At 38.0% G+C, this 16,146-nt stretch overlaps 1 annotated feature.

The window, feature by feature from the left end:
• Positions 719 to 1,220: an enhancer, noted in NCBI's record as "NANOG hESC enhancer chr2:145366588-145367089 (GRCh37/hg19 assembly coordinates)". NCBI's record gives its function as "activates a minimal SCP1, AML or CMV promoter by ChIP-STARR-seq in naive H9 embryonic stem cells {active_cell/tissue: H9 hESC(naive)}" and the evidence as "EXISTENCE:reporter gene assay evidence [ECO:0000049][PMID:30033119]".

Raw genomic sequence — 16,146 nt, forward strand, 5'->3', positions numbered from 1 at the left:
TAAAAGTTTTAACATTTTAGTTGTGGGAGAAAGTTTGTTGAGAGAGTAAAAGCATCAGTATGGGGTTTGTTTAGCTTTCACCATTTCCAAAGGTATTGGCTTGCTGTCAAACTCTCATGTCCTTAGGAATGTAAAGGAAACATTCTCAGTATGTATGAAGAACAGCTGTCCATGGACGCAGCAACTTTCAAAAATGATTACACCCAACTTTCCTGCAGTATGGATTATGGAATCAAAAAATATTTTTTCACTGTGTACCAAAGAATTCCGTTTTACAGGCCAGTTTTGAAGCTTTTAACTGCATGAGACATATGCTGCAGTTCTGTTGTTTGTTCTCCATGTGATGTACTATGAAATGTGTTTTTTAAAAAGGGGGAGAAAAAGAGGAGAAAGGGAGAGAGTGAGAGAGAGGAAAGTGTGCAAATTCTTCTGATCAAATGTGGTCTTCAAAACTACTTTTGAAACTAATTTAGGGGATGAGTTAGGAAATGCCCCAGCTGGCTTCCATGCTACCGAAGTCTGAACAGCCCTTTGCAAAGCTGGAAAAATTGATTTTGTTTTGAAGGCTCACACAGACTTTAGTGTTGTGGAAGTTGGACAGAGTTTTTATTGAATCTGGTCCTTTGTGTTTTATGACAGTCTGAATGGGTATTAAGATTCCACGAATAAATCCCCTGCCATTTCTGAGATTTCTGATATAAACATGAGCTCCGTCAATTTGTTCTCTGTACAAATGTCTTTCAGAATGTTAACAAACATGGTGCATTGATGAATGGGCTGGCCTATGGAGTGCAGTCTGCTTTACTTGGTAGGGCATGTTGCTATGATTTTTCTTTTGTTTCTCAATGCTATGGCCACCCAGAAATGGGGGCTGTTGAGGGGTGGTGAACTTCAAGACTTGAGGACAGGGGAGAGTTAGCTCAAGGCTGGTTGGAGAAGTGGTGTTAATGGCCTTCAATTGAAAGTCTGGCCAGACACCACATCAAGGGGATTGTGGATTGGCCCTCAGGAAATGTATTAAGTCTTTTCTTAAGTGCCTCAGGTGAATTACTTAGAGGAACACAGGTAGCAAAGAAGAGAATATATTTTTAAGATATAATCTTTCTATATTCTGCATAAGTTTGTATTTTTTCAGTGTACTTTAAACTCAAATGTCAAATTGATAATACCCTAAAATTAGTTTCCAACTAAATACTATAATTTAAAGCAAGCAAGCCAAAAAAATTAAGTCTCAGTTTTTATGATAAAAATTAGGTCATGTATAATATAAACACTTTTGAAGGAGAATTATGATAGAGTTTCAGGAAATGTTATGTTCCACAATTAATGGTAGTAAAAAGTTGTATATTGTATAATTTGAAGTTCTGTAATGTGTAACTATCATTTTAGGTATAATTCTGAACTTAGCATTGGGTTTTCATTTTGAAGCACAAGCCCAAATCTTAGTGGCCTAATCTTATTCTTCAGATATTTAATGCCCAGACGGGAGCTGTAATGGCTCCTAAGAATTTCTTATGTGGTTAAACTGCCCAGCAGTGTCCAGCTCTTTACTTAGCTTTTACATAATTGCCTTCTAGGGTGGTTATCTGGTATATGGAGCCGTTCCCTAGCCATATTCTCCTCTACACATTGCCCTTCCTGGGGACTTAGTACAGAACCTGGGTAATCAGTTTGGGGTTCAATTCACATTCATGATGCAATCGATGCATTAATGGGGATGTTTCATGGGAGATTTTAATACACTCTGTTATTGGCGTTATAAATTGGGCCAGTTAACTTGATGTACTTCTCTTTGTGGTCCAAATTCTGCCCTCTGTTTCTTACTTGAAATTCCCATTGAAGTAGTAATTACCAAGTGGAAGAATACTAAAAATGTTCAGCCAAATTCTGTTCTATGTTGCTATCATGTAACTCCCGATGAAGTTAATTACGACTTAGTCAGAACTAGTGCTACATCTTAAGGGCTTTGGAACTCTGTGATCTGCCATCCAAGACACCAGGCCAGCAGCCTGCCTTTAAATATCTCATTTTAAGAGGTAAATTGACCCTGTTGAAGGTAAGAAATGGCTATTGCCAGTAACTATATGTGTAATGGGGCTTAAATAGTAGAACTTAACATATTTGAACCTCAGGAAGTTTGATCTTTTTGTAGTTTTCCTCTTTGGGGAAGCCTGTTTCACAGAAGCTTTAATTCTCTTTAGTGCACTGAGTCTATTGATATGAGTTACCTCCTGTCCCATTCTCCCAAGCATCCCTTAACTGTAACAGTATATAATTTTTATTTCCATTAATTATATAACATTTGCTTAAGTCATCACTACTTAGCTATTATTTCCTGGAGCTAAACCATTATCTTCCTTAAATACAGATGTTTATATTATGCATAATATAATTTCTTTCATAAGAATTCATTATAACTTTTCAAAATACTTTGGCTCTCATTTAGCCTATGTCTCAGTTTAGCTTTTTTTTTTTTTTTAATGGAAAAAAGGGCCCCATGACCTATTGGATAACGATACAATATGTGCCATACTTGTAGGATTTTGTCATTGTGCAAATAGGGTTTCAGGGGAAAGGGCAGAACATTACCCATGGTTTGGTGTGAGTGCAGCTCACAATTAGGACCATCTGCTGAGTGGTCCCAGAGTAAGACTTTTTTGGAAGTTGGCATGTGGGGCTGCCCAGCCTCTGGGATCCTCTGGTTAAAAAAAATTCTGAGGACACTGGTGGCCCAGAGACTATCTTGATGTATGTATTGGGAACCCAGCAGTTCAGAGATGGTGAAGGATAGTGACTCTTGAGGGAGTTCAAAGTCAGGAGAGATTGGATTCACTTTAAAAGGCTTTCTAGGTCAGTGCCATAAAACAATCAACTCATCGTTGGAGTAGACTGGGTTTGGCAAGGACTGATTTTACTGCCTTGGGGGTTGCCCAAGAGTTCAAAGCTACTTTCCTGTATGCTGCTAACAAAGCTACTGGGGGCGAAAGAGGCTCTGAAAATTCAGTTTCAAAATCAGAAGGATCTCAGGGCTAGGAGGAACTTCTTTTCTTCTCCCTTCTTTCTCTCCTTTCTTTCCTACTATCCTCTCTTGCTCCCTCTTTCCCCTTTTCCTTCTCTACATAAGGATTTATTGACCTCCTAGTATTTTCCAGGCATTGTAATGGCCACCAGGTATAAAAAAGGAAAGACATAGTTCCTGTGCAGGAGGAATTCACATTCTAGTTGAGGTGATTCTCAAGAAAAGCAGCAGTTATAGAGGTGATCTTGCATATGGGAGCACTAAGGAGGGGAGCCAGAGTGTGCAAGATTTTTCAGGCCTTGCCCACTGAAAAGATTATGTTGTTTTCCTTTGTAATTAAACATAAAAACAATGTTAAATCCTAAAGTCAGTGCAATGAAGACCAACAAAGTTTTGGTTTTGCCCCAGATATTTTGTTGTTTTCAAATGTTTTCTTGTTTTCAAAAAAATCTTTTTAGATAAAATGATTTTTTGCATTTGTTTTTGTGTTTTTGAGATGAAGTCTCACACTGTTGCCCAGGATGGAGTGCAATGGCACGATCTTGGCTCACGGCAACCCGTGCCTCCTAAGGCGATTTCTAGTGATTCCCTTGTCTCAGCCTCCGGAGTAGCTGGGATTACAGGTACCTGCCACCACACCTGGCTAATTTTTTTTATTTTTAGTAGAGACAGGGTTTTACCATGTTGGCCAGGCTGGAACTCCTGACCTCAAGTGATCCACCCACCTCGGCTTCCCAAAGTGCTGGGATTATAGGCATGAGCCACTGCACCCAGACCAATGAAATGATTTCAAATTAATTTTTTTCTCAGCTTTTTGATCATTTAGCACTGAAGACCTATTTGATCATCTAGCGTTGAAGACCCCTGATCCACGTTGGGCTTTCGGAGAAGACTTCTAAGAGGCAATGATAGAGTTGAAACTTGCAAAACTTGAGTTATATAGGTCATGATGGAGTTGGTAAAGTGTCCTGGCTGGAGTGGTGGGGAGGGGAGGATTTTGTGGGTGGCGTATGCCATAGGGCAGGTAAAGTTCTCTGTGCAAATGCATTGAGAAAAAAAAAAACTAGTGCCCATGGTTTGGTGTGGTTGTAATATAGAATTGGAATTTATGGAAATTAGGACTTGTTATGACATGTTGAAAGCTTTGGATGCTATCTGCAACAAATGAGAAAACACTGAGAATTTTGAGTAAGATAACAATATTTTAGAATAATAATTCACCTAACAGGGTAGAGAAGAGACTTGGGGATGGAGTTGAGGCTGGTGGTGGCTAGTCCAATTGGGAGGCTATTGTAGCATTCCCAGCAAATAGTGGGAGAGCCTCAACAGGGCATGTGAAATTTAAATGTTGGGGATGAGAGAGGGGAAGGCTCTGAGAATGGCATTTATGTTTCTGACTTTTTGGCTCGGTGGTGAGTGATTTCATTCACTGAAATTTGAAAATTAGGCAAAGAAACATGTCTAGAAGGGACATGGTATATTCTGTGTTTCACATCGTGGATTTGATGTGTTTCTGAGACTTCAAGTGGTGAGCTCTGTTGGCTTAGCCTAAGAGAAACACTGTATGTACATCTTGGAGCCAGGAAGTTGAGGCTGAAGGGGGTTGTGAGGGCTCCTTCTGTGCCATAATAATATATTGGAATTTATTTTTGTCCTCTATTTCATTTATTCATGCCTGACTCAATTTGCTCAGTATTTGCAAATTGTTGCTGATGTATGTGCTTGTGTGTTAGCTAGTGTGAATCACTGTTGACTATGGAATACTCTTTATCAGCCACTAACATTGAGTCTTACATTGAGCCAATCAAATCTTTTAATTTTCTGTGGCAATAATTCACCGTGATCCAAGTCCTCTGCTGTCAGGTGAATACAGAGAAATTCTGCTTTGCCTCTCACCTATGACCTGCTAGGGTAGCAGGGGCTAGAGGTCGGTCAGTTGTGGAAATTGAACCAGGAGCAAATGATAATTTTCTAGGCCAATGCAGGCTCAGCTCTGTGAAATCTCCAGACACTGAACATTTCACTGAAATCAGAAATAGGAGCTTGAGGATATAATATAATGGTGAACTAACCTGTTCTTAAACAACAGGTGCTTAGCTGTGGTCCGTGATCTGCCAGAGCTGGATTGCCTGGTAGGGAATGTTTAAGAACACAGGATCAGCCCTTGGGATCAGTCCACGTTGGAGTCCCAGCTCTAACATTCAGCAGCTGTTAAAAACAAAACAAAACAAACAAACAAAAACTTCCTGCAATGAAATTTCCTTATATGCAAACAGGGATGATAATAATATTCACCTTACAGGGTTGTGGCTTGGATGAAATAAGATGGAGCATGATATAGTGCTTAACAAATGGCTTGGCACTTTGCAGTATGCCATAAAATTAGCTAGCATAAGTTTTATGAATGAATTTCAGGGAGTTTGTGAACACCTGAGTTGTATATATTATTTTGTAAGAATGTGTGGAAGTACATATTATTTTTTCTCTGTGAGAGAATATGGCATATGGCTTTCATTGGAGTCTCAAAGTAGTCTGTAACTTAAAAACAACAACGATAACAAGAATCCCCCACACAAACAACAAAACCAAAAACAAAGTAAAGGTTAATAAGAAAGGCCATCATAGACAAAGTGGTTAAACAGTTGCTTTCTTTTTAATAGACTTAAGATTTTTTTACCATTTTCGGTTTACAGCCAAATTGAAAGGAAAGTATAGAGTTCCCACACACCTTCTGCCCCAAACACTCAGAGCCCTCCCCACTACCTTCATCTCACCCCAGAGTGATACATTTATTATAATCCATGAACCTACATTGACACACCATTATCAGCCAAATTCCAGAGTTTACATTAGGGCTCACTCTTGGAGTAGTACATTCTATGGGCTTGGCAAATGTATAATGATATGTATTCACCTTTGTAGTATCATACAGAATAGTTTCACTGCCTAAAATATTCTCTGTGCTCCTCCTATTCATCCCACCTTCCCCCTTAACTTCTGGCAACAACTGATCTTTCTACTATCTCCAAATATTGGCATTTGCCTTTTCCAGAATGTCATGTAACTGGAATCATACAGTACATAGCCTTTTCATATTGGTTTCTTTCACTTAGTATTATGTATTTAAATTTCCTCCATGGCTTTTCATGGCTTGCTAGCTTATTTCTTTTTAGTGCTGTATAATATTCCATTGTCTGGATGTACCATAGTTTATTCATTCACCTACTTAATGACATCTTGGTTGCTTTTCCAAGTTGTGGCAATTGTGCATAAATGTGCTATAAACATTTTTTTTTTTTGAGACAGGGTTTTACCTGTTGCCCAGGCTGGAGTGCAGTGGCATGGTCACAGCTCACTGCAGCCTTGACGTCCCTGGGCTCAGGTGATCCTCTCCCACCTCAGCCTCCTGAGTAGCTGGGACCACAGGTGTGAGCCACCATGCCTAGCTAATTTTTGTATTTTTTTTTTGTAGAGATGGGGTTTCAACAATTTTTGTATTTTTTGTAGAGATGGGGTTTTGGCATGTTTCCCAGGTTGGTCTCAAACTCTTGGACTCAAGCAATCCACCTTCATTGGCCTCCCAAAGTTCTGGGATTACAGGTGTGAGCTACTGCATCTGGCCTAACATCTTTATGCAGGATTTTGCATGGACATAAGTTTTCAACTCATTTGGGTAAACACCAAGGAGCATGATCAATGTTTTTCTCCCTGTATTTTATAACTCTTTCCAATTATCCTTTCTTCTGCAAACATTCCTCATACCATCTGTCCTGCCTGAATAAGTTTACTTTATGCTATCATCCACCACCAATCTTGCCTGGATAAATTTATGTTAACATCGTTTCATCTTCTCCTTCCTCAACCAGGCGACAGGATCATCCCATTATCCACAGCAGCCTACAGTCTCTACTGGCATCCAATCTCCCTAAGAAAGACTCCACACTGAATACTTTTCATCCTTTATTCTCTACCCAACTCACTTTCTGCCCTAGGTCCTATTCTCTGTAGGCCCAGATTTTTGTTAGGAAATGGAGAAATAAATTCTTCCTACTGAGTTGATGACTGATATTGTTATACCTCCAAGTTACGATATTTACATTTTGACAGGTCAGAACTTTTCAAGGCAATGCTTTAGATGGGGTGGGAAGGTTGGAGTGGAGATTCAGGCCACCTGGCCAACTAATAACGGAGATATTTTTGGGTCTGGAGGCCTTTATATACTGCTGAAATCCCACTTTATGATTGACTGTTTCCTCTAACTTGAATAAGAACTACACCTGTGAATTTTCATCCTCCTACAGCAGCTAAGACTTTAGTAAGCCCCAGGAAAGTCATAAATTTGCTTTACCTCAGTTATTCTTTCGGCAAAATGGGAATGGCATTAGACTTTTGTTGAAGGCACCTGGAAGATGAAAACTGCCAAGTGTTGTGACTTTTGGTATGAGACTTAAAATACAAAATATCATTGCATAATGATAAAACAGATTTTTCAAGAAATCCCTTTGGGAAGTTTATACTTCATTTATACAGTGAAAGTAATATTTATCTTGCCCTTTAATGTTATTTTGTAAAATCTACCTAAAAATAACACAAACAGCAAATATTTCTTCTTTAAGAGGCACTTTTTAAAGGGAGTGAAAACATAGTTGTAACGTTACTTTTTGTGTGGCATGTGAAAAGAAAATCCTGAAAACACATGTTTATTTTTTTCAGTTCCTGACCACTGTGTTTGGAAAAACTGCCAAGTGTGACTTAAAACTAGCAAATACAGTAACTTGCTTTGAAATTTGGACCCATAACGTCTTGGGCTGTTTTTTTGTAGAAAATGAATTGTTATGTTAACTTTGACTTCTTCTGATCACTTTGCTTCCCTGAAATCAGTTGCATGCAGATTAACAACGGATTCCAATGAATGAATACACTAAATGTAACTGACAGTCCTTAATATACAAATACTGAAAGTGGGACATTATCAGTTCTCCAAAGAAGTACTCTTTATGCTTTTATACAAGTGCTTAAGAACAGACTTTGAAAAAGGACGTTGAAAACTTGCCAGAACTTCTTTGTATTTTGAAAGCCCACATCAAGAAGGGGTAGTAAATAGTCGTTGAGTATAGGAAAAAGGAAACTATTAGCATTGTTTTCTTTTAAAGATAAAAAGAGAGTCCCAAGGAAAAGCTTTATAATCTTTGAAATATTTATATGTTGTTTAATCAGTTTAAACAAATGACAACTTAAAATTTATGCTTTTGTATAGCTAGACAAAATAACTAATTACCTGCTAATTAAAAAAAAAAGGGTAACTGACTGTTTTATTGAGGGCATATTTCAGGACAACCATTTCTAATTTACGTCATTTGGCAAATTGCAGGCAGAGTGGGATAGACATTAGTTTTGAATTTTCGAAGTTAAGAAAGAATATATATATATTATATATAGTCTAAATACATCTGTTTGTTTTTCAAAATACAGTAGCCAGTCTGAACTTTTCCTTCTCAGCTCCTTATTTTTATCTCATAGAAACTGGCCTGTTAAGTATTAACATATTAAAAGGTTTTCATCTTATTTCCAGACAGACATCACTGCTGCACATTTTTGACCAGCATGATAATATAAAAATATTTGTAAAATTCTCTGTGATACAGTAATGGCAGTCAATATGCTGAATTTCTAAAACTCAAGGGGTTGCTGATATATAGGCTTTCTCTATGTAACAAGAATGAACTTTAAAAAAATTTATTTTTATTTTAAGTTCTGGGGTACATGTGCAGGATGTGCAGGTTTGTTACATAGGTAAATGTGTGTCATGGTGGTTTGCTGCACCTATTAATCCATCACCTACGTATTAAGCTTAGCAGGCATTAGCTATTTTTTAAATGCTCTCCCTCCCCCCACCACACCCCCTGACAGATTCCAGTGTGTGTTGTTCCCCCCGCGGTGTCCGTGTGTTCTCGTTGTTCAGTTCCCACTTATAAGTGAGACTATACGGTGTTTGGTTTTCTGTTCCTGTGTTAGTTTGCTGAGAATACTGGCTTCCAGGTCCATCCATGCCCCTGCAAAGGACTCAATCTCGTTCCTTTTCATGGCTGCATAGTATTCCATGGTGTATAAGTACCACATTTTCTTTATCCAGTCTATCATTGATGGGCATTTAGGTTGATTCCATGTCTTTGCTATTGTGAATAGTGCTACAAATAATTCTTCATAGTTTACTAAGGACTTTGATGTGTATTACCTCATTGGAGTTTAACAAGAGCCCATATAGTAGATGTTATTATTCCCTTTTTACAGATGAGGAAAGGAAATAAAGAAATTAAGGGAGTAGGTAGAGATTAATTCTCTCTCTCTCCAAGTTCCTGCTGCCTTTAACAAGCAAAACCAAAAACAAACACACAAAAAACAAGCAAATAAACTATATTTTTATTGTTTATTTATTTTAATAGCTTTTGGGAGAACAGGTGGTTTTTGGTTACATGGATAAGTTCTTTAGTGGTCATTTCTGACATTTTAGTGCACTCGTCACTGAGCATTGTACACTGTACCCAATATGTAGTCTTTTATCCGTCACCCCCTTCCCACGTATCCTCCATGAGTCCCTGAAGTCCATTGTATCATTCCTATGCCTTTGTGTCCTCATAGCTTAGCTTCCACTTCTAAGTGAGAATATATATTTTGTTTCCCATTCCTGAGTTACTTCACTTAGAATAATGGCCTTCAACTCCATCCAAGTTGCTGCAAAAGACATTATTTCATTTCTACTTATGGCTGAGTAGTATTCCATGGTGTATGTATACCACATTTTCTTTGTCCACTTATTGGTTGATGGGTACTTAGGTTGGTTCCATATCTTTACAGTTGCTAATTGTGCTGCCATAAACATGCATGTTCACGTGTCTTTTTCGTATAATGACTTCTTTTCCTTTGGGTAGATACCTAGTAGTGGCATTGCTGGATCGAATGGTAGTTCTACTTTTAGTTCTTTCAGAAATCTCCATACTGCAAACTCATATTTTAAATCACCACTTCTGTTCTTTCTTGGGAGATTTCAGAATGAGGAGACTGCCCTGTCTCTTCATATTACTGGCGCCTAATAATGGAAGGAACAGGCATTTGTCTGACTGCTAATATGGCAACTCTGATACCCATTGGTCCACATATCTGTGGTGGGGTTGATGTGTTTAAGTTTATTTGACATGTGTTCTTGAAACTGTAAAATGCTTATGGATCACCTAGGGATCTTATGAAAATGCAGATTGTGATTCAGTAGGTTTGGAATGGGGCCTGAGTTTGCAATTCTAAGAATCTCCCAGGTGCTGATGGTCTCGGTCCAAGGATGACACTTTGAGTAATGAAGTCCTAGTATGTCTTGCATCCTTTTCATAGAGCTGCCCCCTTCATGCAATGTTCTACCTATTTCATCCCTGTATAAAAGGTCTGTGATTTTCTAGGTCCTCTCCCTGTGATGCATTAGGGAGTTGGTTTCAGGGGTGGGTAGTAAGAAAGAGGTAGAGTTCCCATTTTGCCTGGGATGGATGCAGCCTTTAGAGAAAGAAGGCAAACAAATGTATTAGTGCTTCTTTTGATGTCTGATCCCATTTCTCAGTTGGTTCAGAACCGGGAGGGAAGAGGATTGGGTTATAGTCAGACCAGCAGTGTATTTCTCAAGAATCTGATTTTCTGCCCTTGTGGAGTTTACCTTCTAAAAGAGAGACACAAATAGTAAACAAATAAATAAAATATATGATACATTAGATGGGGGGTTTGATTTTTTTTAGGGTGCATAAGGAAAACCTCACTGAGCAAGGGATAACTGAAGAATATGTAAGATAATATGATCGAAAGAGGCTAGTGCCTGATGAAGGGCAGGTGCTGAAAATATAAGTAGTTTTCCTTCCCTCTGCACACCTGAAGGTGTGGCCTGTTTGGTTTTTTTTTTTAAATGTTCAGGTCAGGGAAGAGAGTTTCCCTATTTGTGGGAGCTTTTGTGTGCTGTGTCTCCTAGGTTGTATCTTGGGAGTTCAATGGCAGTTGGGAAAAATCCTGCACTGAGACCTTATCAGGTCCCCTGCCCTTTTAGTTCCTATAGGACACAAGAGTTTCCATATGAGTCTGTCATCAGTGTCACCCAGAAGGAAATTCACCCATTCTGTCAAATAATTAAAAGGAAAATACATGAGGGTATATTGTTAAACAGGTCAGGAAAAAGGCTTCCAGCTCCTTCATTGATAGACATTCTCCTGGACTCCTCGTGTTCTCCAAGTTGAGAGAATGGGTTCTAGAGATTCGTGGATGAGTAATTTGATGGAGTGCATAGCACAGGACGCAGCACATGAAAGGTTCTTAGTAATTATTTTTGAATAAATAGAAGGGTGGATAATTGAATACCAAATAGGCATTCTCTAATGAGCTAGACACTTAAACTTCCTCTCTCATCCTGGGCTAGTCTGTCTAAGGATGTTGTTTAGGAAAATATAGTGCTGGTGCTGCAGGGAAATAGGTTTCCGATTTAAATGAGTGATGTGCAGTTGTTACGATCATCACTGTCAGTATCAGTTTATTAGTGTGTATACCTTAGTCTTAAGTGCAGAGCCTCTTCTCATTTTCTGTAATTGTACACTAGATTAGGCTTCTCACACTTACATGGGAGTTTCACAGAGTCATCAACTAGTCACCAAAGAACTAATTCTGAAAACCGCTGTAATAGCTATTTGTTTTAGGATTGACTCTGCTATTTGAATGTCTTTCACTTTGCTTTCATTATAAATGTATTACACATATTTTTAGGTCAACACTAATCATGTATAACTAACTGAGCTAATTTGGCACCCTGACATATAATGTTCTAAAATGGATGCATTCTGAATTTCTTCTTCCCAGATTTGAAATGTTTTGAACTGAATTTGAACTGAAATTCTATTGACTTTCTCTTTGATTTCTTCACCTATAAACTGGGCATAGTGTTTTATTCTTACAGAGGAGGCTGCAACCATCAATTAGGTATTTGTTGTAAGGGGCTTTGATAGCTTGAAAAAATGACCTTTTATAGAAACAGGATACATTGTATTTATCCTTACAGTATTTTCTTGATTCTAATTATAACTCATTTTTTCTTCTCACCATAGGAGGAGAATGGACAAGGGAAAATGTGAGTACAGAAAGTGGCACTGATTTCCACCACAAAAGAGATTCTACAAAGCTATGGAGGATAGTCACATCACAGCATAGGATGACCCTGGGTGGAGCTTGTATTAAATTTAAATGCTGCCTTGAAGTGAGACAGCAGGAACTCCTTCAGAGTCTTTCTAAAACCAGGGGAAAAAATCAACAGTTGATGTATGATTTTATATTTGTAAACAAAAATCCACAAGTTGTCATAATTAGAAGAGGCTTCATAAATCTTTTACTTTAACCTCATCCTTTCACAGATGAGAAAATGGAGTTTTAAAAGTTTATGTAACTTGCCCCGAGCTATTATTCTCCTGATCTCAGTCTAGTTATCTTCACTTTGTGCATGACAGACTTGATAAATGTCATATTCAAAAGGCCTAATAATATTAAGATAAATTCTAGTAAGCCACCTTAAGACTTTGGGATCTATTTTACTGTGGCATGTGACTATGAGTTGTTTGGTCTCAGTTTCTTTCAGCGAATTTCCATCTGTGTTATCAGTGCTTGGGGTCCCTGTATCTCTCTATGTTCTTGGATTTCAGAAATGGACTCTGGCTAACCTAAATACAAATAAACAAAAATAAATACATACATAAATACAGCAAAGATGTTATTGGAAAGACATAATATGGCCCAAAGAAGAAAAGAAGAAGCTAAACAACCATGGCTCAGAAAGCTCCAGGCCAGCATAGCTACAGGAATTCGTGTAGCAGAACCTAGGGGAGAGCCCACTTACAGTCCCAGGGGTGAATGGAATAGCTCAAGCCATTTATCCTGCATCTTGTCATCCCTGAAAAGCTTCATATTTCAGGGCCAGAACATCTGACTAGTCTAGCTAGGGTAACAGGCCTACACCTTGGCCAGGCATAAAGGTGGGTGGATAGGGAGCAAATGGAACATTTTGATGGACAGACTGCCAAGACTAGATGCATAGAGAAATGGTTATTCCCAAAAGGGAGGAAATTGAGTCACATTTACCAAAAAAGGGAAGCATGAATTTAGGGCAGAAACAAGTATATGTCGTGAAACCTTTGCATTACCATAGATACAGAAGAGTTCCATGTGTACATTTTTTACTTCGTAAAATAACTTTAAAAATTCAGATATGGGCATTCAGTCTTAGTTGATACTTTTTACCTTTTCATTTCTCTAAGTCCAGTTATATTTAGATTTTCGTATCCCATTCAGTTCAATTAGAAAAAATACCACAACTATAATAAGGATTTTGTTCAGTTTGGTTACAAGTGTTCATTCATTCATTCACTTGGACAATTCATTTATTCTACTTTTTTTAAAATTTAACTTTTATTTTAAGTTCAGGGGTACATGTGCAGGTTTGCTATATAGGTAAACTCGTATCGTGGGGGTCTGTTGTACAGATTATTTCATCATCCAGATCATAACCCTATTACCCATTAGTTATTTTTCCTGATCCTCTCCCCACTTCTAGTCTCCACTCTCTGGTAGCCCCCAGTGTGTGTTATTCCCCTCTATGTGTCCATATGTTCTCATCATTTAGCTCCTACTTATAAGTGAGAACAGGTGGTATTTAGTTTTCTGTTTCTGCATTAGTTTGCTGAGGATAATTACCTCTAGCTCCATCCATGTTCCTGCAAAGGACATGATCTCATTCTTTTTATGGCTGCATATTATTCCATGGTCTATATGTACCACATTTTCTTTAGCCAGTCTATCACTGACGGGCATTTAGGTTGAATCCATGTCTTTGCTGTTGCGAATAGTGCTACAGTGAACATACAAATGCTGTGTCTTTATGATAGAACAATTTATATTCTTTTGGGTATATTTCCAGTAAGGGGATTGCTGGGTCAAATGGTAATTCTGCCTTTAGGTCATTAAGGAATTGCCACACCGTCTTCCACAATGATTAAACTAATTTACACTCCTACCAACATTGTGTAAGTGTCCCTTTTTGTGTGTAACTTTGCCACCATCTGATTTTTTTTTCTTTCAATAACAGCCATTCTGACTGGTGTGAGATGATATCTCATTGTGGTTTTGATTTGCATTTCTCTAATGATCAGTGATGATGAGCTTTTTTTCATATGCATGTTGGCCACGTGTAGGTCTTCTTTTGAAAAGTGTCTGTTCATGTCATTTGCCCACTTTTTTATGGGGTTGTCTTTTTTTCCCTCATAAATTTGCTTAAGTTTCTGATAGATGCTGGATCTTAGACCTTTGTCAGATGCATACTTTGCAAAAATTTTCTCCCACTCTGCAGGCTGTCTGTTTACTCTTTTGATAGTTTCTTTTGCTGTGCAGAAGCTCTTTAATTTAATTAGATCCCATTTGTCAATTTTTGCTTTTGTTGCAATTGCTTTTTGCATCTTCATCACGAAATCTTTGCCCATTCCTATTTCCAGAAGGGATTGCCTAGGTTTTCTTCCAGGGTTTTTATAGTTTTGGATTTTACATTTAAGTCTTTAATTCATCTTGAGTTAATTTTTGTATGTGGTGTAAGGGAGGGTCCCAGTTTCAATCTTTTGCATATGGCTAGCCAGTTATCCCAGCACCATTTATTGATTATGGAGTGCTTTTCCCATTGCTTGTTTTTGTGAGGTTTGTGGAAGATTAGATAGTTGTAGGTGTGTGGCTTTATTTCTGGGTTCTCTGTTCTGTTTTATTGGTCTATGTGTCTGTTCTTGTACTAGAACCATGCTGTTTTGGTAACTGTAGCCCTGTAAATAGTTTGAAGTCAGATAGTGTGATGCCTCCAGCTTTGTTCTTTTTGCTTAGGATTGCCTTGCCTATTCGAGCTCTTTTTGGTTCCATATGAATTTTAAAATAGTTTTTTCTAGTTCTGTCAACACATATTTAAAATTGACTTTCTCATAGTATAGAGCTCAATTTCTGACACTCAGTTGGCAGAAGGGAGAAGTAGAGATTTTCTTTTTATTAAAATACATATTTACATGACAGAATAAGCCATTGGCTTTTAAACAGTGCTCTAGAGTGGCTGAGAGTTTCCAGTGGTCTTTGTCAGACAGTGGGTAGGGACTTAGTGGCTGGACTTCAGTTTCTCTGTGCTTCTGCCCCTTCTCACCTGCTTTTCCCTATCTCTCACCTCACCTTCTCCAGCTACTTCAGTCAAAAGAGCTTCACTTTCATTTGTGGGGTTTCTCAGCAAGATTCTGTTTTATGAAAAAAGAGTTTGAAAATTGCTGGCCTCAACAACATGTAAATGTTATATTAACTGTTAGCATACCTGTTTGATTTATTACACCAGTATCTTCTTAGTCCTAACACCAGATAACGGAACATGTCTATCAAGGCAATCTCATCTTCTTGATTAAAAAAAAATGTTTGAACCAATCTGGAATAAACAAATAGAGAATGCTCACTGTGGATGAGGCTCTGTATGCTACATTGTTTGAGGGAATAATAAAACAGATAAAATACAGCTCCTTAGCTTCACTTAGTTGGAAAGATAAAACAAACATATACAATAATGAAAAGTCAACAGAAGAACTGTTTCACTAGGCGGTATCCGATAATCGTGAACTAGATCACTGCATGCCAGTCTAGAAGGAGTTAGAGGAGAGAAAGTTCATGTCTGATCCATCCTCTAGAAGGCAGAGAGGGCCTTCTAGCTGATGGCGCATTATGTTTGGGTTTCAAGTTCTATGAGTCTAAGGATTAAAAAAAAGTCAGAAAGTCCTTTTATGTTATGAATTATTTCTGCATCTTTGAATTATCCAAATTCCTAAGTGCCTTTGTAGAACTTTTGGGAAAATACAAAAAGAGTTTTAAAAATAATCTCATATTCTTTTTCCTCCTTTAATCTGATATCACCAGGTCTGAAACGAAAAGCAAAGTCACAGAATTTTATTTTTGTATGTGGAGGGTAAAATGCTTTTATTTGGACTGTTGCACTAAGCAGATGCGCTGTTAAATTAATACATAACAAGTTGCACAGAAAACTGGAGTTTTTGTGTCTA

Source organism: Homo sapiens, chromosome 2, assembly GCF_000001405.40.
Source record: "Homo sapiens chromosome 2, GRCh38.p14 Primary Assembly".
Taxonomy (NCBI): Eukaryota; Metazoa; Chordata; class Mammalia; order Primates; family Hominidae; genus Homo; species Homo sapiens.